The 25,420-nt window shown below is 40.5% G+C and overlaps 1 protein-coding gene and 1 pseudogene across 16 annotated transcripts in view; both read left to right on the top strand.

Annotated features, from left to right (window-relative positions):
- WDR93 (WD repeat domain 93) overlaps positions 1–25,420 on the top strand; it is a 53,291-nt gene that overhangs the window by 3,915 nt on the left and 23,956 nt on the right. For 11 of the 16 annotated variants that reach the window (XR_931869.2, XR_931870.1, XM_011521794.3 and 8 more), the window contains exons 2-7: positions 7,445–7,787; positions 8,688–8,880; positions 11,292–11,356; positions 17,764–17,842; positions 20,718–20,833; positions 22,649–22,687. Coding sequence is in view for 14 of the 16 variants with exons in the window: in XM_011521794.3 (XP_011520096.1) it covers positions 7,485–7,787; positions 8,688–8,880; positions 11,292–11,356; positions 17,764–17,842; positions 20,718–20,833; positions 22,649–22,687 (795 nt within the window). In the remaining 2 variants the exon portion in view is untranslated. Of the gene's footprint in view, positions 1–7,417; positions 7,788–8,687; positions 10,217–11,146; positions 11,204–11,291; positions 11,357–17,763; positions 17,843–20,717; positions 20,834–22,648; positions 22,688–25,420 lie in introns of those variants that run through there. The other 5 variants (XM_011521795.2, XM_024449994.2, XM_047432868.1 and 2 more) reach the window with 5 other exon arrangements.
- RNU6-132P (RNA, U6 small nuclear 132, pseudogene) lies at positions 19,970–20,076 on the top strand (annotated as a pseudogene).

A 25,420-nucleotide genomic window follows, 5' to 3' on the forward strand; every position in this document is an offset into this window, starting at 1 on the left:
TTTTTTGAGATGGAGTCTCGCTCTGTCGCCCAGGCTGGAGTGCAGTGGCACGATCTCGGCTCACTGGTTTCACACCATTCTCCTGCCTCAGCCCCCCGAGTAGCTGGGACTACAGGTGCCCACCGCCATGCCCAGCTAATTTTTTGTATTTTTTAGTAGACATGGGGTTTCACCATGTTACCCAGGATGGTCTCGCTCTCCTGACCTCATGATCTGCCCGCCTTGGCCTCCCAAAGTGCTGGGATTACAGGCGTGAGCCACTGCACCCGGCCGGGTTACTTCTTTTATTACTGAGTTTTGAGAGTTTTAAAAATACTCTGGACAAAAGTACTTTATCAGATAAGTGACTTGCACATATATTTTCTCCCCATCTGAGGATTACCTTTTATTCTCTTAACAGTGTGTTTTGAAGAAACACAAGTTTATTTTTGAAAAGGTTTAAATGACCAGTTTGTTCTTTTTAGGTTATACTTTAATGTCATATCTAGGAAATCTTTGTCTAAGAGAAGATTGCCAAAGTTTTCTTCTAGAAGTTTTATAGTTTTCAGTTTTACATTTAGGTGTATGATTTTACTTTGAGTTAATTTTTGCATATGGTGCAAGGTATGGATCGGCATTCATTTTTTTCCTATATAGATATCTAATTGCTCCAGCATTATTTGCTGAAAAGAATATCCTTTTTCCACCGAATTGTCTTTGTGCTTGTGTCAAAAATAAGTTCTCCATATATGTTTGCATCTAATTTAGGACTCCCTATTTGATTTCATTGATCTGTTTGTTTATTTTGATACCAATACCACACTGTCTTGAATATTGTAACTTTGTGATAAGTCTTGAAATTAAGTAGTGTTAGTCCTCCAATTATGAGTTGTAAAGTTAGCTTCTTAATTTCTGGAAAAAAAAAAGCCACCTGGGATTATCATAGGGATTGTGTTGAATTTGTACATGAATTTGAAAAGAATTGACATTTTAACAAAATTGAGTCTTCCAACTCATAAATAAGGTATCACACTCTCCATTTATTTAGGTCTTCTTTAATTTCTGTCAGCAATATTTTATAGTTTTCAGTATGTGGGTGGGTGTTTTTTAGAGAGGGAGTTTCGCTGTATTGCCCAAACTGGAGTGCAGCAACATGATCATAGCTCACTGCAACCTTGAACTCCTGGACTCAAAGCAATCCTCTCACCTCAGCCTGCTGAGCTGCTAGAATTACAGGTGCAAGCCACCTTGCCTAGCCCAGGATACAGGTTTTATATATCTTTTGTCAGATTTATCCCTAAGTAGTTCATGTTTTTGATACTGTTGTAAATGGTATTTTTATTTCAATGTTTGGTTTGTTATTGCCAGTACATAGAAATACAATCAGTTTTTGTATATTGAACTTGTATCTTACCACCTTGCTCTCCTCATTTATTAGTTCTAGAAAATGTTTTTGTAGATTTCCTCAGATTTCCTATATAAGCATATCATCTGGAGATAAAGACAGCTTTATGTTTTTCTTTCCACTGATGAAGTAGTTCCATCACTCCAAAAAACTCCCTCATGCTGTCCTTTTTTTTTTTTTTTTTTTTTGAGACAGAGCCTCACTCCGTCACCCAGGCTGGAGTGCAATGGCACAATCTCAGCTCACTGCAACCTTTGCCTCCCAGATTCAAGCGATTATTGGTCCTCAGCCTCCTGAGTAGCTGGAATTACAGGCACACACCACCACACCCAGCTTATTTTTGTATTTTTAGTAGAGGTGGGGTTTTGCCATGTTGCCCAGGCTGGTCTTGAACTCCTGACCTCAAGTGATTCACCCGCCTTGGCCCCCCAAAGTGCTGAGATTACAGACATGAGCCACCATGCCCAGCCATGCTGTCCTTTTTGAATAACACCCTTCCCTGCTTATAACTCTTGACAAACACTGATCTGTTCCCCATTACTCAGTTTGCATTTTTGAGAATGCTGTATAAATGGAATTGGACTGCATATAAATTTTGAGACTGTTTTCTTTCACTCATCATAATGTCTTTGAGATTCATCCATGTTGTTGTGTGGATCAGTAGTTTTTTGCTTTTTATTACTGATTAGTATTCTATTATATGGATATACCACAGTTTGTTTATCCATTGATAAACCTGTTGAAGGACATTTGGATTGTTTCCCATTTTTGACAATTATAAGTAGAGCTGTCATAAACATTTGTGTAGAGGTTTTTGTGTGAACTTACATTGGTGGTGGTGGTGGTGGTGGTGGTTGTTTTTGTTTGAGACAGGGCCTCACTCTGTCACGTAGGCTGGAGTACAGTGGTGTGATCATGGCTCACTGCAGCCTTGACCTCCCTGGCTAAAGCAATCCTCCCACCTCAGCCTCCCAAGTAGCTAGGACTACAGGTGCACATCACCACACCCAGCTAATTTTTGTATTTTTTGTATAGATGAGGTTTTGCCATTTTGCCCAGGTTGGTCTTGAACTCCGGGGCTCAAGCAATCTGCCTGCCTTGGCCTCCCAAAGTGCTCGGATGATAGGTTAGTTTTAATACTCCTAGGGTAGATACTCAGGAATGGGATTGCTGGGTCATATGGTAAATATATGTTTAACTTTATAAGACACTGTCAAATCCTTTCTCAGAGTGGCTGTCCTGTTCAGCATTTTCAACAGCAATGTATGGGAGTCCAGTTGCTCTGCATCTTCACCAGTGCTTAGTATTGTCAGTTTGTTTGTTTGTTTGTTTGTTTTTTAGAGACAAAGTCTCACTCTGTTACTCAGGCTGTAGTGCAGTGGCATGATCACAGCTCACTACAGCCTTGACCTCCCTGGCTCAAGCAATCCTCCTACCTCACCTGGGACTGAGGTGCACGCCACCCCCACCCCAGTGGTTTTTTAAAATTCCTTGTAGAGATGGGGTCTCACTGTGTTGCTTAGACTGGTGTCAGACTCCTGGCCTCAAGCAATCTTCCCACCTTGGCCTCCCAAAGTGCTTGGATTACAGGCATGAGCTGCCACACCTGGCACTATTTTTTTTATTTTAGCCATTCTAATATGTATGTAAAATATTTTAAACATATATTTACCATATGACCCAGCAATCCCATTCCTGAGTATCTACCCTAGGAGCATTAAAACTATTAAAAGTGATCCATGGGTTATTAAGAAGCGTGTTAGTTTCCTAATATTTTGAGGTCTTGTATACATTGAACCATCGAAATTTCTGTTATTGATTTCTAAAATAATTCTGTTGCAGTCAGAGAACATACTTTGTATTATTTAAGTTCTTTCAAACTTAGTAAGAGTTGGTTTATGGCCTGGAATATGGTTTGTCTTGGTAAATGTTTCATGTGCACTTAAAAATAATTTGCAATCTGCTGTTTTGGGTAGAGCGTTCTGTAACTGTCAATTGGAAAAAATTACTTAATAGTGTTATTGAAGTTTTCTGTATCCTCACAGATTTTTCTGTTTATGTGTTCTATAATTTATTGAGAAGAGGGTATTGAAATCTCTGACTATAATTGTGGATCTTCCTGTTTCTCATTAAATTCTATCCATTTTTACTTTGTGTATTTTGAAGCTCTGTTATTAGGTGCATAAACATTTAGGACTTTTATACCCACTTGATCAATTGACACTTTTATAATTTTTTTTTTTTTTTTTTTGAGACGGAGTCTCTCTCTGTCGCCCAGGCTGGAGTGCAGTGGTGCAATCTCGGCTCACTGCAAGCTCCGCCTCCTGGGTTCACGCCATTCTCCTGCCTCAGCCTCCCAAGTAGCTGGGACTACAGGCGCCTACCACCACGCCCGGCTGATTTTTTTTTTTGTAATTTTAGTAGGGACAGGGTCTCACCGTGTTAGCCAGGATGGTCTCGATCTTCTGACCTCGTGATCCGCCCGTCTCAGCCTCCCAAAGTGCTGGGATTATAGGCATGAACCACTGCACCCGGCCCACTTTTATCATTATTAAATGAACTTCTTTATCGCAGGTAATATTCTTTGCTCTGAAATATACTGTGTCTGATATTAATGTAGTCACTCCAGCTTTCTTCTGATTAGTGTTAGCATAGTATACCTTTGTTCACCCTTTTAGTTTTGGCATATTTGTGTCTTAATATTTAAGTGGGGTTTTTGTGCACAGCATATATTGAGTCTTATCTATTCTGACAACTTCTATCATTTGACTGGAGTGTTTACATTTGATGTGATTATTGATATGGTTAGATTTTGCTATACATTGTTTGTCCCGTCTGTTCCTTGTTCCCTTTTTCCTCTTTTTTGCTTTTTTAAATTAAGTATTTAAATTGAGTATTTTCATGTGTTTTATTGCTTTTGTTGGCTGGAACTCTTTGTTTTATTTCTTTAGTGGTTAATTTAGGGTTTAGAGTATGCATCTTTAACCTAGCATAGCCTACCTTCAAGTGATATTGATATACTTCCATTTCTCCCCTCCTAGTGCTTGTACTATTATTGTCATACATTTTTCTTTACATATGTTATTAATCCTACACTACATTTTTATTTTTTTGTTTAAGCATTTTAAATATCTTTTAAAGAGATTTAAATAATAAGAAAAATATTTTAATTTGCCTAATGCATCCAGTGTTTTTCACTTCTTTATGTAAATTTCTATTTCCACCTGATATCATTTTATTTTATTTATTTAATTAATTAGTTTGAAACAGGATATCTGTCACCCAGGCTGGAGTGCAGTGACACCATCATGGCTCACTGCAGCCTTGACCTCTCGGGCTCAAGTGATCCTCCAAGCACATGCCACCACGCCTGGCTAATTAAAAAAAATTTTTTTTATAGAATAAAGGTCTCCTTTTGTTGCTCAGGATGGTCTTGAACTTTAGGGCTCAAGTGATCCTCCCACCTCAGCCTCCCAAAGTCCTGGGAGCTACTATACCCTGATCCTTTTCCTTCAGCCTAAAAGCCTTTCTTTTACGTTATTTATTTTAATGCTAGCTTGTTGATGATGAATTCTTTCAATTTTTGTATGTCTAAAAAGGCTTTATTTCACTTTAATTTTCTGAAAAATATGTTTTCTGGATATAGAATACCAGAGTGACAAGTTTTTTTCTTTCAGTACTTTCAAGATGTTGCTTCACTGTTTCTCACTTGCATGGTTTCCTTCAATAAGTCTGCTGTTATTTTTTACTTTGTTCCTCTGTACATGGGATGCCTTTCTTCTTCTGGCTGCTTTCAAATTTTCTCTTTATCCATAATTTTATATAGTTTTTCTTCTCAAATCTGTGGGTTCATAGTTTTAATCAAATTTAGAAAATTTTTGTTCATTATTTCTACAAAATTTTTTTCTGTTTCTTCTCTCTTCTGGGGATTTCAGTCACTCTTTATTAGGCCACTTCAAATGATCTCACACCTCAGTTCTTCTCTTTTTTTCAGTCTTTTTTATTCCTTCGTTTCATTTTGTTTCTATTGCTGTGTCTTCAAGTTCACTAATCTTTTCTTCTGGCCATCTAATTTTTCCTCTGAAATCTTCATGTTAATCTAATCTGATGTATTTTTCATCTCAGACCTTGTAGCTGTGTCTCTAAAAGCTCAATATGGATTTAGAAAGATATAGATATAACAGTTACAGCTTTATAACTTTGTGGAAAAAGTTATAACTGTTTTGTCTGCTAATTCTAATATCTTTATTGACTCTGGTTCAGCTTTAGTTGATCGATTTTTCTCTTTATTATGGCTTATATTTTCTTGCCTTTCTATAGCCCAAGTAATTTCTTTATTGGATCCTAGACATTGGGAATTTTACTCCATTGAATGCTGGATATTTTTACATTCCTCTAAATATTCTTGAGCTTTGTTCTGGGATGCAGTATGTTACTTAGAAATAGTTTGATTATCTAACTTCTAAGATTTGATGGGTGACAACAGAGGAGCATTTATTCTAGGGCTAATTTTTCCCACGACCGAGGCAAGATTTTTCAGACTACTCTACATAATCCCTGTGAATTATGAGGCTTTCCAGTCTTGCTGGTGGAAACAGGCATTATTCTTGGCCCTCTGTGAGCTCAGCTTACTCTCCCCACTAATTACTTCAGGTGGTTCTTCCCCCAGTGTCAGCTAGTGTCCTCATACTCACACATTGAAAGCATCACAGATGTACTCCAGCCGGTAAAAAAAGATGACAGTGGCAGCAGGGCTTTTATGAGACTTCATGGACCCTAGGCACTCACACAGTCCAAGACCCTACTCCACTATATATTAAGCACCTTAAAATTTATCTCATGTTCTACATTAAATATTTTTTTAAAAACTGTAACATATGAAAGCCTTTTTATAATGTACACAATATTGAGGGTTTTTTTTTTTTTTTTTTTTTGAGGCAAGGTCTCACTCTGTCATCTAGGGTAGAATGCAGTGGCACAATCTTAGCTCACTGCAACCTCAAACTCCTGGGCTCAAGAAATTCTCCCACCCCACCCTCCCAAGTAGCTACAGATGCATACTGCCATGCCCAGCTAATTTTTAAATTTTTTGTATAGATGGGATCTTGCTATGTTGCCCAAGCTAGTCTCAAACTCCTGGCCTCAAGCAATCCTCCCACCTTGGCCTCCTGAAGTGCTGGGATTATGGGCATGAACCACCCCACAGGCCCTACAATTTTGAATTTTCTGAAGTAAAGATTACTTGTTCTCTTCTTGTAGACATGAACTTTATTTGTATACATATACAGACTTTATATATTTATAAGTTGATGTATGCATATATATGTGTGTGTACACACACACACACACACACACACACAGAGTGGAGCTAATAAATTGTAAATATTTTTGTAAATATTTAATTATCATCCACAGGAGCAATAAGTATTTCATTCCTCAAATCTGTGGCACAGATAGAAGTGGAAGTTTATGGGTCTTATTTTGGTCAATTCTTTTTTTAATGTCTCAAACATTTCTGGAGGCTCTTGAAAAATCTCATGGGCCCTGAGCACTGTGTCTGCAGAACTTCTGGGCAGCAGCAGCGGGAAAGGAGAAAAGGGAACAAATCAGACAGTCGGGATTGGGAGTGCTTGAACTGCATCTGATGGGGGGTAAAGGAAAGAAAGGGAGGAGAGTCGTGGCTCACTGCCCACCTGGCTTGGGCACAGCCATCTGCAGAGAGAAAGAGAATGAGGAGAAGGCATAAGTTGTAGGAGAGAGGGTGAATTGTATTTGGGACAGAAAGACATCTGCCCTCCTATCAACAAGGGTATAAAATTCCTCTTTCCTTCTTAGTACACATCATCTAGGGTTGGCCTGGAAAATACCTGCCTCCTCTAATGTCCTTACTAATATGAAGAGCATATCCTAAGAATGTGGTAATAGTCCTCTGGTAATTAAGGAAAATGCCAGTCTGTGGAATAAGCAGTCCCTATAGGCTATTGTGCTAGAAAAGGATGATGTGCTATCTTCTCATTGCTTCCTTTCTTCCAGAATTCCTTTGTTTACTTCTCTTATCAGCTTTTCAGTTTCATAGAGGTTCCCAGTGCCACCTTCTGTGATGTCATTCCCAAGAGGAAGTCAGACCCAGAAAATAAAGCACCCCATTGGTACACGAAAGGGACCATTGGAGGTGCCACCCCCAACAGAGAAGGACTGGCCTAAAGACGATGAACAGGATCATGTCCTCGTGGATCCAGATGAGGAGCTGGATTCCTTGCCTCAGCCTTATCGAATGATCAACAAGCTGGTGAACCTTCTGTTTGACCAGTCTTGGGAAATTATTGAAGAGAGAAACGCACTGAGGGAAGCTGAGAGCAGCCAGATCCAGCCCACCGTCTACCCTCCACTTGGAGAAATCCAGGTATGGAGTAAGCAGTTGACCAGGAGCCCCTGTTTCTCAGTTGAGTGTTAATAAATGAAATCCCCTGATCCAGGAAGGAATTCCTACTAGAAAGCTGCATTCAATAAGTCAGTGCATTTTTGAAAGATTAGAAGCATGCTGATGTTGATTAAAATGATCTGGTAATTGCCTGGGGAAATATGGGGTGTTCTGGTTAATTGAATACTATCCCTTTATATTCAGTGGTTGTTACTGAAAAATCTTCTTAATGTATTAATCTACTCTCTTGCTGGATGGCTGAGGATCTGCCAGTGCCTTGGCTACCATTCCTCCCACAGTGCACAAGCTGAATAAAGTGCAGGGCCTGTGGTCATGCCTAGTGTTGTGAATATGCATTTGTTCTCAACTTATTTGTTTTTCTCTATTCTCTTTGCCCTAACAGTGAAATACTATGAATTTCTTGATGCTTAGGCAAGAGTTTTAGATGAGCACTATGTTTGGGAATGTTGTTTTTTGGGGTTTTTTTTTGAGATAGAGTTTCGCTCTTGTTGCCCAGGCTGGAGTGCAATGGTGTGATCTCGGCTCACTGTAACCTCCGCCTCCCAGGTTCAAGCATTCTCCTGCCTCAGCCTCCCAAGTAGCTGGGATTACAGGGATATGCCACCATGCCCGGATAATTTTTATATTTTTAGTAGAGATGGGGTTTCACCATGTTGGCCAGGCTAGTCTCGAACCCTTGACCTCATGTGATCTGCCCACCTCGGCCTCCCAAAGTGCTGGGATTACAGGCGTTAGCCACTGCGTCCAGCCAGGAAATGTTATTATTATCTAGGAAGGGCCCCTGAATGTCTCTGAGAAGCTAACTCATAATATTTGAAGACAGTGACAACTGAAAATAATATTTTTTCTTTGTTTTCCCAGCTCAACAAAATGCCAAATTGTATGGCTGTTTCCCAAGACTATGTGTTTATTGGAGGAGCCAAAGGATTCTCAATTTATAATCTGTACAGTGCTAAACAAATATATGCGTGGGAGAAGCTTAAGGTTGATGTCACTTCCATCTGGGCCACAGATTTAGGGAATGAAATACTCATTGCTCCTGTGGATGAAATGGGTATTGTTCTTCATCTTCCTTTTTAGCCTCATTTACAGGTACCTGTAGACTGTTGTCAATTTAATCTCCTTTTGAGGTATTGGTGGGGCCAGGCATGGAGACTTCTCCCTGGTCATGTAATAGTAACTATATGTACAGAACAGGTATGGTGGGTCAGATACTGTTCTACCATTTCACATGTGCTAGCCCATTTAATCCTCATGGCAGCCTTAGGGGGGAAGTAAAATTTTTTATTCCTGTTCAGAAGAGGCAACTGACTTATGGAAGCTAAATAACTTATTTGAGGTAACATGGAAAGTCAGGCTTCAAACCAGGCAGTATGGCCCTGGAGTCCACACCCTTCCAGCACTCAGCAGTCCTCTCATACAAACCAGAGCTTGCTCTTTTTCCCTCAGCCTGAGGATGAACCAGGCCTCCATGAGGAGTATGGTATCGAAAACTGTAGACAGTGTCCTAGATAGGTGAGCTGTTACTCTTGGTTGCCCCCCAAAAGCTAGGCTCCCTCTAGCCTGTCCTTATGTTTGGGTGAAACAGACTGTTACCTCTGGATTTGAGGAGCTTTCCTACTTTGTGGAGGATGAGAAGGCAAATGTCAGCATTGGCTGGAAGTGAGTGAGGTGGCTGTGTCATATTGTGGCAGGCAGAGCGGAAAGTGCCTGCTCACTTGGAGATCATCTGTGAAGGCATGCATCTCTCTAGACCTCAGGCTCTGCTCAACCAGCACAGGCACACTGAAGAACTTTCTGCAGGAGAGTGACCTGACCAGACTGGCATTTAAGAAGGGCACTCTAGCAGGAGTTTGAAAAAGGCAAAATGAGAGGCAGAAAAACTATGCAGTCATTAAGGAGAGAAAATTCTGAACATCTGAACCAAGACAGGGGCTGTTAAAATGAAAAGAAAGGCCAGGTGTGGTGGCTCATGCCTGTAATCCCAGCACTTTGGGAAGCCCAGGCAGGTGGATCACTTGAGGTCAGGAGTTTGACACCAGCCTGGCCAACATGGTGAAACCCCGTCTTTACGAAAAATACAAAAAAAAAAAAAAAAAAATTAGCCAGGCGTGGTGGGCACCCAGGTGCTCGGGAGGCTGAGGAAGGAGAATTGCTTGAACCCAGGAGGCGGAGATTACAGTGAGCTGAGATCGCACCATTGCACTCCAGCATGGGTGACAGAATGAGACTCCATCTCAAAAAAAAAGAAAAGAAAAAGTGTACTATGGTTATGTAAGATGTTAACATTAGGGGAAGCAAGACAAGGGATACAAAGAAACTCTGTACTATTTTTGTAACTTTTTTATAAGTCTAAAATTAGTTCAAAATAAAAAGCTTAAAAAATGAAAGGAATGTTTAATGGAAAAACTTAGGGAATGATGGAATATGCATATGGGTCAAGTAGTGGGAAAGTGTGCCTGGGGGGCAATGAAGGAGAATGCCTCCCCCTTTGTGCCTTAGAATACTGGGTGGATGATGATGTCATTTCTTGATAACAGTTATGGGAAAATAAGATTTCAGGGTTCTGTGAGTTGAAGAATTCCATTTGAACATGTGCAGACTTGAGGCATCTAGGGATATCTCTGTGGGAATGTTGATACTCAGAAGGAGTTTAGTGTAAAGATAGGATCATATGTATCACACTACATTATACTAGTTGGTTTCAAGTCTGTGTAACCCTGAATATGATGAATCTGAAGGTAGACTGTCTTGGTGTCCCTAGCACATTTGTTGGCATGAATGAGATATCCCATGAATCTGTACTGGGTTGAGTTAGACGTTTACCCACAGTGGGCCAGATGCCTTTACAAGGTTATATTATAGTATAGAGAGGCAAGTCATAAGTATGTGGGAGGCACCTCAAGAAAGAGGTAAGAATTCATCGTGGGTGATGGTTGTATACTGGAGCCATTAGGTTAAATGAGAATTAGATTAACATATTTACTTATTAATTCAACAAAATTAACTGCACGAGGAGCTTGTTGGGATTGAGAGGCAAGACACATGGAACAGTGAGCTATGATCTTTCCCTCAAAGAATCTATGAATTCTCAAGAGGAATACAATACATTTGCAGGAAACAGTTGGATAATGGTGTGAAGCAGTAAGGGATGGTGTGCTCAATCAGGCAGATAGGAATCAACCAGTGGATGGATGTAGCCCATGTCTTACAGGAGACGTCTGGGAGATGCCGGTGGAGCCAGGGTAGGTGGAGAGGACCCAGGAAGGAAAACAACCCGAACATTCAAGAGGGGTGGAGGAAGGCAGGGAGACCAAGAGCAGCATAGGCAGTGGAGGGGCTGGGAAGGAGGCCTAAGAATGAGCGAGCTCATGATGGTAAGTTCACAAAGTCCAATATAAAATTTCCAGTTTCTCTTCAGCTCAATTGTCTGTCTTAACATTCTCACTTATTTTTCTGTTTCAGGTATCATTAGACTCTTTTATTTTTATAAGGAAGGACTTTACCTAGTCAAAGCCATCAATGAAGTGGTGAGTTCCTATTCTTTCACCATTAGCTGGGCCAAAAGCTGTAGCAAATTAAGTTTATTTTTAATATGGAAGCAATGATAGCTGGCCTAGATTAGAAAGAAATAGAGACCTCCATGGCCAGAGAGCCTCCTCCAAAATATCCATTTAAAAGATCCGCGACCATCAAAGGGTACATGCTGAATTCCTTGGATTTAGTTACCCTGTTGTCAAGAAAAGAAAATTAGCAAAGGAACTCCAGATTTTTCTTTTGAGAATCAGACCAACATATCTAATAAGTACTCAAAAGTCCCTAAATATCCTGGGCTGTTTCACATTCCCCTTCCCTTGCCCATGCTGTTCCTTCTGCTTCAAATGCTCTCCTTGTCTCCCTGCCGCCTTGTCTCCCTACCAAAATTTCCCCCATTCTTCAAGACCAGCTCAAATATCTCCTCTAAGATACTTTCCCTTATATACCCAAGAGGAGCTGATCTCTCCCTGCTTTGTGCCACTGACAAAGAGAACACAGTTTCTACCACAGTGTTTCCCGCACCCTCTACCCTAGTTTGTTCATGTGACTGCTTCTCCTGAGGGAAGAGGACCTGTCTTATTTACCTTTTGAATCCCCTTTTCCCAGATCATTGCCTACAATACTGTAAGTTCTCAGAAAGTATTTTTCAAATCAATGAATTCCCGAAAGAGAGGGTATTACTCAGAGTAAGGTTTTTTTTTTTTTCTTAAATAGAGACAGGGTCTTGCCATGTTGTTGCCCAGCCTGGTCATGAACTCCTGGCCTCAGGTGATCCTCCTGCCTCAGCCTCCCAAAGTACTGGGATTACAGGTGTGAGTCATAGTAGATTTTTTTATTATAATTTGTCTTCTAAGAAATACTATTGATGGGCACCAAGGCAATTCAGTGGGGGCCAAAAGAGAGTATTTTCAACAAATAATGCTAAAACACTGGAAAAACAAATATGGAAAAATGAACCTCAACTCTACTTCACACCATATATAAAAATTAATTTGATAGAGATTTTAGATCTAAATGTAAAGGCTAAAAACATTTCTTCTTGGAAAAAAAAACCACAGAGGAATTTTTTTGCTACCTTGGGGCAGGCAGAGATTTCTTAGGAAAATGAAAAGCACTAATCATAAAAGAAAATATTAATATTGGACTTCATTCCTCACACCATATACAAAAAGTAACTCAAAATGGATCATATACCTGTATGTAAAACCTAAAACTATAAAACTTCTAGGCTGAAACATAGGAGAAAGTGATCCTGGGTTAGGCAAAGATATTTTAGCCACAATACCAAAAGCATGATCCATAAAAGAAAAGATAAACTGGACTTTATCTAAATTAAAAACTTCTGTAAAAGATATTGTTAATGGAATGAAAAGACAACCCATAGACTGGGAGAATTCATTGCAAATTACATATGTGATAAGGGACTTGTAACCAGAATATATAAAGAACTCTCAAAACAAGAAAAGATGTAACTTTTTTTTAATGGGCAAAGGATTTGAAAAGAAGGGGTCACCAAAGAAGATGTATGGAAGGCAAATAAGATGCTCAAGATCATTAGTCATTAGGGAGGTGGAAATTAAAATCACAATGAGATATAATTACACATGTATTAGAATCCTCAAATTAAAAACACTCACCAAAAATAGGCCAGGCACGCTGGCTCATGCCTGTAATCCCAGCCCTTTGGGAGGCAGGCAGGTGGATCATTTAAGGCCAGGAGTTTGAGACCACCCTGGCCAACATGGTGAAACCCCATCTCTACTAAAAATACAAAAATTAGTTGAGCATGGTGGCAGGCGCCTATATCCCAGCTACTCAGGAGGCTGAACAGGAGAATCACTTGAACCCAGGAGGCAGAGGTTGAAGTGAGCTGAGATTACACCACTACACTCCAGCCTGGGTGACAGAGCAAGACTGTTTCAAAACACACAGATACACACAGAGACACAGACACACACACACAAATAAAAAATAAAACAACAAAGAAAAAAAGGAAAATAAAAAAATAAATAAAAACACCATACCAAGTGTTGGCAAAGATATGCAACAATTGGAACTCTTCCTATGCACTGCTGGTGGTAAAGTATAATAGTACAACCACTTTGGCAGTTTCTTCAAAAGTTAAACATGTACTTACCATGTGATCCAGCCATTCCACTCCTAAGTATTTATCCAGGAGAAATGAAAGTGTATGCCCATACCAAGGCTTGTACGTGAATGTTCATAGCAGCTTTATTTGTAATAGCCAAAAACTGGAAACCATCCAAATGTCCATCAACAGGTGAATGGATAAGTAATTGTGGTGTATCCATACAATGGGATATACTATTCAATAAAAAGGAGTGAACTATTAATGCATATAACATGTATAAATTTCAAAATAATTATGTTAAGTGAAAGAAGTCAGATAAAAATACATAACTGTTTGGTTCCATTTTTATAAAACTGTAGAAAATGCAAACTAACCTAGTGATGGAAAACAGATCTGTTGTTGCCTGGGGCAACACAACACAGGCAGGAGGAAACATTTGGAGGTGATGGATATGTTCACTGTCTTGATTGTGGTGTTGGTTTCAAGAGGTACACATATGTCAAAACTTATCTAATTGTACACTTCAAACATGCTATTATGTCATGATACCTCTAATAAAGCTGTTAAAAAATTTCAAATTTCTGCTCATCGAAAGATGCTATTAGAGTTCAGTCAGTAGCAGGAGCAGAGAGCGGACCCCAGAGAGCCCTGAACAGCCCCACCTCCACCCGTCCTAGTGACAGTCACACCCTGGAGGAGCTACAGTTGTCGCAGCTGGCTCTAGTCACCATCACCACTACCCTGAGCAAGGAGGCTGAGACCCAGCAGCTGCCAGTCCTCAGCAGTGCCCACATCTGCACCATAAGAAGTGGTTGCTAGGGTGGCTAGGACAAGAGCGTCATTGCAATGAAAATTTCGGAAACAGATGATTCAATGTCAGGAATGGCTATGTTTTCATCCACAGAAAGGACATCAAGGAGGTGTATTTGGACACAGACAGTCATAAAAGAATAACCCCAGGAAGTGCTTTCCCAGTGTAGTAGATGGAGTTTGAGGTTATTGAAGGGTATGGAGGTCGCAAATGTTACAGGCCCTAATTGCATTCCTATGCAAGGCAAGTAGATCTGCAGCAGACTAACCATTATGAATGCTGTCCGCATTGTAGGGCCAGTCCTCCACTCACTCACCAGCCGAATTATCAGAACAGTGAGAGTGGGGAAATGACCAAAGGTCAGAGAGTGTTCCTGAAGGCCAGGCTCAACAGCTGGCCCAGGCATGGGCTTCTAGCCTGTGGCGACCCTGTGGGTACCCACATTATTGTGGTGCACCACTATTGTGGCTGTGACGGCCAGGTGCCCACACTATTGCAGCCGTCCGGTGCAGGGAGAAGTGATGGAGGTACTGATAACCAGGGTGCAGGAGAACAAGGTGGACCAGTGACACAATCCTACACCACAATTCTCCAGGGCCCCTTCTCACCAAAGACAGAGAGGTCAGCAATGAAGAGGAAAAGGAAAATCAAGATGAGACACAAGGTCAACAACTGCAACTTCAGTTACAGATGTAGATGTCCAGAAAATCCTAAACCCCACTGTGGCAGAGACAAAAGCAAGGGATCCACCAGCTGAGAATGCCTTGGATCCTGAGGCTGGGCAGGGTGGGGGTGATTTATTTATTTATTTTTTGCCTGTTAACCAGATAACTAGAACTAATTGCATTATCAGTGCAGCATCTGGTTTTTAAAAAGCCAAACTGCAAACTGCTAATAAAGGCCTTAAATAATAATAAATATAATAAGAAAATGTAAAAACAAGCCAAAGACTGGGAGAAAATACCTGTTTTATATATATATACTTTATATATATTTATATATCCTTCAAAGTATTTGTATCCAGAATATATAAAGAACTCCAAATCAGTAATAAAAAGACAACCCAATAAAAAATAGGCAAAAGACTTAAACTGACATTTACAAAAGGAGACAGTGTTTCGCCATGTTGCCCAGACTGGTCTTGAACTCCTGGACCCAAGCAGTCTTCCCACCTTGGCCTCCCAAAGTGCTGAGATTACAGGTGAGGTAGTTTCTTACAAAGTTAAACCTATGATACATCAAGCCCATTTTTAGGTATTTACCCAAAAGAAATGAAAACATTTGTTCACAAAAAGATTTGTACAAGATGTTCATAGCAGCTGTATTTGTAATAAAAAAAAAAATAATCAAGGCCGGGTACAGTGGCTCCTGCCTGTAATCCCAGTACTGTGGGAGGCTGAGGCGGGCGGATCACGAGGTCAGTAGAACAAGACCATCCTGGCTAACACGGTGAAACCCCGTCTCTACTAAAAATACAAAAAATTAGCCGGGTGTGCTGGCACGCGCCTGTAGTCCCAGCTACTTGGGAGGCTGAGGCAGGAGAATTGCTTGAACCCAGGAGGCGGAGATTGCAGTGAGCTGAGATCGCACCACTGCACTCCAGCTTGGACGACAGAGTGAGACTCCGTCTCAAAACAAAAACAAAAACGAAAACAAAAAAACATAATCAGAGAACAAATAAAAATTTGTGGTAGACTAAGTCAATGGAACACTAATCGGCAATAATAAATAATAAACAACTGATGATTACAACGCAGCAGATGAAACTCAAAAACATCAAGTTGAATGACAGAAGCCAGACACAAAAGAGTAGGTTCTAATTATGAAATTATATGAAACTTAAGAACAGGCGAAATTTATCTGTGTTAGCGATGGAAAGCAGAACATTGGTTGCATATGGAAGTGTAGTTGGCTCAAACAGGCATACGGTAACTTTCTAGGATAATGGTAACGTCCTATACCTTGACAGGGTGTTAGTTACAGGGACGTATAAGTTTGTCAAAACTCATCAAGTTATGCATTTAATACCTGTGCCTTTACCTATATTTAAATTTTATCTTTAAATAAACTCTCCTAAGAAAAAAAAAATACTGGGAATGTCCCGCAACTCATTTTATGAGACCAGCATAACTATGATATTCAAATTATCAGGGATGTTACAAAAAAAGTACTGTTGGTGGATTAAAACACATAAAAATATTTAAAATCCATTAATTCATGATAATATATTTTAAATACTTTATTGTCACAACTTTGGAAGTTGTGAGGGAAGTTTCAGAAACTCAGTATTCTGAAAACTGATAAGGGAAAGAATCAAGCTTTTATTCTGACTTTTTCATATGGGCAACCAATTTCAAGGCAACAAAATGGTTGATGATGGAAAGATCTTCCTTATAGAAGAATTCTAATAAATGCAGAAGGAATGATAGAACTGAGGTATCCTACTTTTGTTGCCTATTACAAAGAATGGTCTAGGCAATAACCACCAATGGCTGATGGGGAAGTTTGTAATAAAGGAGTCAGGATGATAACTGTTCTCAACTGTCAACCTTAACATTACTAAAAGAGAGACAACCAGCTATTATGAGCCTCCTGATATGATGCAGTAGGAAGGACACAGTGCACCTGTGGAGTGTTCTTGCCAAAACATTGAACCTAAACCTAATCAAAGCTGTAGATCTGATTATCAGTTTACAGGAAATACAGGAACCATGGAGATGCAATCAATCCAGTTCACAATGCGAAAAATTCCATAGGACAAATGACACGGTTTCTTCAACAAATAAATGGCAAACAGAAAAACAAATGAGGGAGCTAATATAAATTAAGAGACTTAGGAGATACATTAGGCCGGGCATGGTGGCTCATGCCCCTATAATCCTAGCACTTTGAGAGGCCATCTTGGGAAGATCACTTGCAAGCCAGGAGTTCAAGACCAGCCTGGGCAACAAAGTGAGATTCCGTCTCTCTTAAAATTTTTAAAAATTAGCGAGTCTCAAAAAAAAAAAAAAAAAGATAGCATAACCATTCACATTGAGCCCCTCTGACCTTATCCACAATTTGAGCAGGTTTCATACTAAGGTTACATTCAGTCTCTACCATAGTCTAAATAGAGCCTTTTGTCCAGCAACTACCAGAGTTTTCAGTGTCATGTAGAATTTATTTCCATTTAGTTGAATAATTGGATGCCAGCATAGGCTTTAGGGTTTGCACACCTGACGAGGAGATCCAATAGTATGCCAGATGTCACCAGGAGCATTTAAGAAACCAGGAAATAAGTTCAAAAACCTTACATAGAAAAGCGAGTTCTACTTCTTTACATATCATCTTGTCCAATTCTTGTACAAAAATGGGAAGTATGAAGCAGTTTGAAGCATCTTTTCATGTCCCAAGGTTTAAAAGGATCTCTGTTCCTGGGTGCAGACCACAGAAGGTCCTGAAATACATTCTCTGTCAGCAGGCTATGCCTACTCTATCAACATCTCTTTTGTTTTCAGGATGATACCAGCAAGCAAACTACCTGTATAAAGATGGAGATCTCTCAAGGAGGGGACTTTGCAGCCTTCCTCCTACAAGGCAAGATTAACCAAAGACTGTTAAGGTTCAAATTTTCAGTCTCTTCCAATCTTCCAAATGATTGCTTTTGTCCCTCCAAACCTTTTATTTAGAAATTATTTTCAATTCAAAGAAGAGTTGCAAAGAAATTACAGAGTTCCCTTATGCCCTTCACCCAGCTTCCCTAATATTAATGTTCAACATGGCCACACCACATTTGTCAAAACTAAGCAAATGACATTGGTACAGTACTATTAACTAACTCTTAACTACAGATTTTTTTTTTCGGATTTCACTAGTTTTTCCACTAATCTTTTTTTTTTTTTTTTTTTTTTTGCTCCAAAGTTCAATCTGGGATACCATATTATATTTAGTCATTGTGTCTCCTTAGTCTCCTCCTACCTAGGATGGTTTCTTGGCCTTTCCTCATTTTTCAAGGCCTTAAAGAGTACCAGTCAGGTATTTTGTAGAATGTCCCTCAATTTCAGCTTGTCTGATATTTTTCTCATAATTCAACTGGGGTTAAGGATTTGGGGGAAGATACAACAGAGGTGACAAGCTTTTCTCATTGCATCATATCAAGGGGTACATGATAGCAGCATGACTCACTACTGCTAATACTAACCTTGATCACTTCAAGTGGTGTCCGCCAGGTTTCTCCACTGTAGAGCTACTGTTTTCCCCTTCCCATCCTCTGTAAGGAGCAAGTCACTACATCCAGACCACACTCAAGGGAAAATGATAGAAGTACCACCTCCTGGCCAGGCGCGGTGGCTCACGCCTGTAATTCCAGCACTTTGGGAGGCCAAGGCAGGCGGATCACCTGAGGTCAGGAGTTCAAGACCAGCCTGGCCAACATGGTGAAACCCGTCTCTACTAAAAATACAACAATTAGCCAGACGTGGTGGTGGGCACCTGTAATCCCAGATACTGGGGAGGCTGAGACAGGAAAATCGCTTGAACCTGGGAGGCGGAGTTGCAGTGAGCCGAGATCGTGCCATTGCACTCCAGCCTGGGCAACAAAGAGCGAAACTCCATCTTAAAAAAAAAAAAAAAAAAAAAAAGTATCGTCTCCTGGAGGTAAGAGAATCAAAGAATTTTTGGACATGTGTTAAAACCACCACAGTAATTAATAAACACCTTGAGGGAGATACTTTGAGAGGATGCTGATGTGCTGTTTCTCTTTAATGTTTTACCCACCAATCTCAGCACTCATCATTGGATCTTGCCTGCTGCAGTTATCACTGGGACAATAGAACATATTTTATTCAAATGCTTGTTGCCTTGATTTTTAACCTTTAAATATTTAGATACATGGTATATTGGCCTCTATTTTATACTCTTGTCCAAGCCCCCTCCAATGTCAGGTATTTGAGGAACATATGCATTTTATTTTGTTTTTTTTTTGAGAAGGAGTCTTGCTCTGTCACCCAGGCTGGAGTGCAGTGGCATGATCTCGGCTCACTGTAACCTCTGCTTCCCAGGTTCAAGCGATTCTCCCACCTCAGCCTGCCAAGTAGCTGGGATTACAGGTACCTACAAGCATGCCCGGCTAATTTTTATATTTTTAGTAGAGACGGGGTTTCACCATGTTGGCCAGGCTGGTCTCGAACTCCTGAGCTCAGGTGATCCGCCCGCCTCGGCCTCTGAAAGTGCTAGGATTACAGGCATGAGCCACCACGCCTGGCGAAGGATATGCATTGTATAATGCTTTGTGTATTCAAGGAAACTTGTGCACCATCTGTATTGGTTTCCTGAGCCTGTCATAACAAAGTACCACAAACTGGGCAGCTTAAAACAATAGATATTTATTCCCTCAGAGTCCTAGAGGCCAGAAGTGTGAAATTAAGGTGACCAGAAGATTACTTTTTAAGAAAAAAATTTAGCCAGGATCCCATACCATGGGAGAACAACCTTTCCTAGGTTAACATATATTTGCTATAGAAGCTGAGCATGTTTCTTTGACAAGATAAAGTCCCACAGCCAACCCATGGGTTGTTATCTCCTCAAATATTGGTCAGAAGAATTCTTTAGGTACATCTTTCCCAATTCTAACCCTTCCTCAGACACACTTCTCTCAGTTGCTGATTCTGTATTTGCTGCCCTCCTCCCCAGACAGGTAAAACTGAAGGCAAAATGTCAGTGGATGTGATCACTTCAGCAGCACATATACTAAAACTGGAACGATACAGAGACGATTAGCATGGCCCCTCTGCAAGGATGACACACAAATTCATGAAGCATTTCTTTTTTTTTTTGAGATGGAGTTTCACTCTGTTGCCCAGGCTGGAGTGTAACGGCCTGATCTCGGCTCACTGCAACCTCCACCCACTGGGTTCAAGTGATTCTCCCACCTCAGCCTCCCGAGTAGCTGGGATTACAGGTGTACACATCACCATGCCCGGCTAATTTTTGTATTTTTAGTAGAAATGGGGTTTCACCATGTTGGCCAGGCTGAGAACTCCTGACTGCAGGTGTTCCACCCACCTCAGCCCCACAAAGTGCTGAGATTACAGGCGTGAGCCGCCATGCCCGGCCCCATATTTTTTTTAATGTCAATGGAATTTACCATTTGCAACAAAGAAAATGTGGGGGCTGGGCAGAACAATTTGGTTAAAAAGCTGTTGCATGAGTGCTGTTAGTGTGAGAAGCCCCTGTTTCTCTTAGATAGGTGGTGGTGGGTTGAGGGGATAACTCTCCATGGGAAAGTTATGTGGGGCATGAGGACTTGCAATAACCATTGCAGAACTACTTCTCCTTCAGTATGTCAAAGTTGCCTGGTATGGAGGTGGCTGGTCTCTTTGCCAGCAGTTCTAAGAAGAAGACAGGCCATTTCTCAGAGGAAACTTGTGGCTCTCTTACAGTTGCTCAATGGTTCTCTGGTTTCCCAATGCAGGAGCCGGAGATATTTGGCTGGATGTGTATAAATTGCCCAAGGAGACTTGGCTCAAGAAACTAGAGCACCCCCAACTCACTTCAAATCCAAAGAAAAAAGTCAGACAGCCGCAACTGGTAGGAAATATCTCTGCTTTCAGCTGATATGTTTCTCCCTACCCCTGACCCACATCTAGCCCAAGTCCTTGGAAACTTATGGTGAATGAGGCCTCTGGGCTATAAGAGAGGACAACAGGAATATTGGCCCCTGTCTCCCAAGTCAATTTCCTTTGGTTAAAATAAGATATTAAAAAGTAGAGGTGTCTTCAGTAGTGGGAATCGCAGTATCTCTAGTCTGGGAGTTGCCTCTCCACTGAGACCACTCCCAGGCATTTCTCTGGAAGGAGGGTCTTTTGTCCTGACTCCTGCTTCACTGGTAATCTTTTTTTCCCTCCTGGCTGAAATAATCTTTTCATGCCTCAAATTCCATTAAATTTTTCCAGACTATGGTATAAAGAGGTTGTTCTCAATATACAGAAATATATATATATTTTCTATTATCCTTAGAAAGTAGAAACTCTACCATTTCAGTTTATTTATATATGATGACTGGGCCTTGTGCTGTTTTTTTGTTTTTGTTTTTGTTTTTTGAGTCTCGCTCTGTTGCCCAGGCTGGAATGCAGTGGTGCGATCTCTGCTCACTGCAACCTCTGCCTCCCGGGTTCAAGCAATTCTCTTGCCTCAGCCTCCTGAGTAGCTGGGACTACAGGTGCACGCTGCCATGCCAGGCTAATTTTTTTGTATTTTTAGTAGAGACGGGGTTTCACTGTGTTAGCCAGGATGGTCTCAATCTCCTGACCTCGTGATGTGCCCGCCTCGGCCTCCCAAAGTGCTGGGATTACAGGCATGAGCCATCGCACCCGGCCTGTGCTATGTTTTTAAGATATAGTTGCTCAGTAAATATTAAGACTTAATTTGCTTATTTATACAGTGTATGCTTATTATTTTTACTTTTAAACCACCAACATTAATATATTAATATTAACTGAGCATCCCTTTAAAATACATTGTATTAGGTGCTAAATAAATTAGTGAAATTATTAATATAGGAGACCAAGATTGAGAGTTACATTCACTGCTGAGCTCAAGTGGCTTTGAATAAATGCCTTTATGGCCAGTGAATATCTTCATAATGGAGTGTAGTCCTATGTCCCTGGGAAAGTTACTAGCCCAGAGATATTCCTCCTCTAAGCTATTACAGAATGTTATTATTTGTATGTATTTTTTGACACTTCTCACATACTGCCTAGGTTTGTAGTTATCCTGTTATACATGAAAATCCTCTTGTCTTCAATGGATAATAAATTTCTAGATTGTTAAGATCATACCTTCTGCTTTTTATCAACAAATTCCATAGTATCATACTTGGTACTCAAAAAGATATATTTTTGTTTGGACTAATTTGTTATCCAAATAGGAAAAGCACCTTGAATGGGGTGGTTTCTCACCATAATTCACTTCTTTTTCATACACTGAGAAGCAGCCAATGAATGCCAGTTACAGTGGTAGTTCTTTTACTACGAATTATATTTAGAGTTACTTAAATGTAATTCTCAACATCACCAATATGTTTTGCCAATCAGAAATATTTGCCTCAATTTGGATTCTTGTAATGGTGTTCTGACTGATCTCCTCAACTCTATTCATTCAGATTTCCTCTTGTTATTAACTATTTCCTGTTTCCCCACCTACCTTTTAAGATCCTGAAAAATAGGGATCGTGTGTTGAAGTTCTGCAGGCCAGAGGCCCACACAAATACTGGCCCTCCACATCTGTTGCATGAATTCACTCACAAGAGTAATTGAGGGGAAGAGAGAGCATGCCAGAAGATTAAAGGGGGTGGTAAACATACATCAAACCTATTGTGAATTAATTTCTCATTTTTCTTCTCAGAACTCCCTTGGTCCCATTTCTGCAGATCCTTTAGAAATGGTAAGAAACTTTAAAGAAAATCTCCAGAGAGACTTAAGTTTGTATTTTAGAGATTTTTTAAAAATTATTATTTTTCTTTTCTTTTCTTTTTCTTTCTTTTTTTTTTTTTTTTTTTTTTGAGACAGAGTTTCATTCTTGTTGCTCTTGTTGCTCAGGCTGGAGTGCAATGGAGCGATCTTGGCTCATCGCAACTTCTGCCCCCCAGGTTCAAGTGATTCTCCTGCCTCAGCCTCCTGAGTAACTAGGATTATAGGCATGCACTACCACGCCCGGCTAATATTGTATTTTTAGTAGAGACAGGGTTTTCTCCATGTTGGTCAGGCTGGTCTTCAACTCCCGACCTCAGGTGATCTGCCTGCCTTGGCCTCCCAAAGTGCTGGGATTATAGGCGTGAGTCACCACACTGGGCCCAAGATTTTGATTTTTACTTGAAATTTACCCTAAATGTCAAATATGCTAATGAAATGTTCCACCTGGGCACTATTTTCAATTCTCAGTGACTTAATCTTGTGCCTCATATCCATTGAAGATGACCTCCCGTCCCTGAGGACAGTTGACCCAAGTCATTTGGCCAGACGTGGGTTTACCTGAAGTTAAGGGAGCTTAAATTTCAGGGCCCCTCACTTGGGCCCCTGGAAGGGGCCCTAGCAATGTGTTCATATGGTTATATATTTTTGTAAAATTAGCAAAGGTAACATATTGTAACCATAATCACTTAATTCCACTACCTCTTCACTCTAGCTTTCCTCTGTCACAATTTCCTCCATATTAGATGGAATTACAGTGGCCATGGGCATTTTGTGTTCATAGTTCTGTCTTCTTTTTCTTAAAAGAGGGTCCTATGAATCCTGGATTTGCCTCTACCAAAATAACAGCCCAATTCACCAAGCCGAGTAACTTGGGGGTTTTGTGTTTGTTTTGGAATACCTTAGAGAACAGAGCAGTTTCCCTGGAGCTTCCTGGCTCTTCCTCTGAGACCAGGAACATACCATGTCTTCAGAAAGCATGGCTCTTGGAGGACTCAGGCGTGTCAGTAGAGTAGTGGTGAACTTCTGAAGTGGAAGTATCTCGCTAGAGCCCCTTCTTTTTTCCCTTTCAAAGTTACATTAGGCCAGGTGGGGTGGCTCATGTCTGTAATCCCAACACTTTGGGAGCCTAAGGCAGGAGGATCTCTTGAGCTCAGGAATTTGAGACCAGCCTGGGCAACACAGCAAAACCTTGCCTCTACAAAAAATACAAAAAATGGCCGGGTGCAGTGGCTCACGCCTGTAATCCCAACACTTTGGGAGGCCGAGACAGGTGGATCACGAGGTCAGGAGTTTGAGACCAGCCTGACCAACATGGTGAAACCCCATCTCTACTAAAAATACAAAAATTAGCCGGATGTGGTGGCGTGTGCCTGTAATCTCAGCTACTCAGGAGGCTGAGGCAGGAGACTCGCTTGAACCCGGGAGGCGGAGGTTGCAGTGAGCCGAGATCACACCACTGCACTCCAGCCTGGGAGACAGCTGTCTAAAAAAAAAAAAAAATTAGCCAGGTGTAGTGGCATGTGGCTGTGGTCCCAGCTACTCAAAAGACTGAGGTGGGTGGATGGCTTGAGCCCTGGAGTGGAGGCTGCAGTGAGTCGAGATTACACCACTGTACTCTAGCCTGAGTGACAGAGCAAGACCCTGTCTCACAAAAAATAATAAAAATAAAAATAGTTATATTTCACATTGTACAAATAATATATGAATATATCACTCTTGGAAAAGTCAAGGAATTCAGATAAACAGCCCTCTCCAGAGGTAATCACCATTATTAGCTTGACATGTTTTTTTGTTTGTTTGTTTGTTTTGTATTTTTAGTAGAGACAGGGTTTCACTATGTTGGCCAGGCTAGTCTCGAACGCCTGACCTCAGGTCATCCACCCGCTTTGGCCTCCCAAAGTGCTGGGATTACAGGCATGAGCCACCGCGCCCAGCCCCAGTTGATGTGTGTTTTCTAGATCTTTAGTGTGTATTTACATCTTACGTTTATTTTGAAAAATACAGTTTTGTTTCATGGAATTTTTTTTCTACATAAGTGGCATCATACTGTATATATTTTCTTATAAACTTGCATTTTTTTACTCATCAATTTGTTTGCACATTTTTTTCTTTTTCTTTTTTCATTTTGAAACAGGGGCTCACTCTGTCACTCAGGCTGGAATGTAATGGCATGATCATGGCTCACTGCAGCCTCAACCTCCTGGGCTCAAGCAGTCCTCTCACCTCAGCTTCCCAAATAGCTAAGACTACAGTTGTGTGCTGCTATGCTTGTCTAATTTTTAAAAATTTTTATAGAAAAACATGTTGCTCAGGCTGGGCATTATTTCTTCTTAAAATGTTAGGTAGACTTTACTAATGTGTCCATCTAGTCCTGGAGCTTTCTTTGTGGAACTACAAATTCAACTCCTTTAATAGATAAAGCACTATTCAGGTTATCTATTTCTTCTTGAGCAAGCTTTTGTACCTTGTGTCTTTCGAGTAATTTGTCCATTTTGTCTAAGTTGTCAAATTTATTGGCTTAAAGTGGTTCATAACATTCCATTATTATCCCTTCATTGTCTTTAAAATCTATTGTGATGTCATCCCTCTCATTCCTGATATTGGTAATTTGTGTCTTCTCTCTTTTTTTCTTAATCAGTTTGGCTAAAGGTTTGTCAATTTTATTCATCTTCTCAAAAGAACAATATTTTAGTTTCATATATTT

Source organism: Homo sapiens, chromosome 15, assembly GCF_000001405.40.
Source record: "Homo sapiens chromosome 15, GRCh38.p14 Primary Assembly".
NCBI classification, from domain to species: Eukaryota; Metazoa; Chordata; class Mammalia; order Primates; family Hominidae; genus Homo; species Homo sapiens.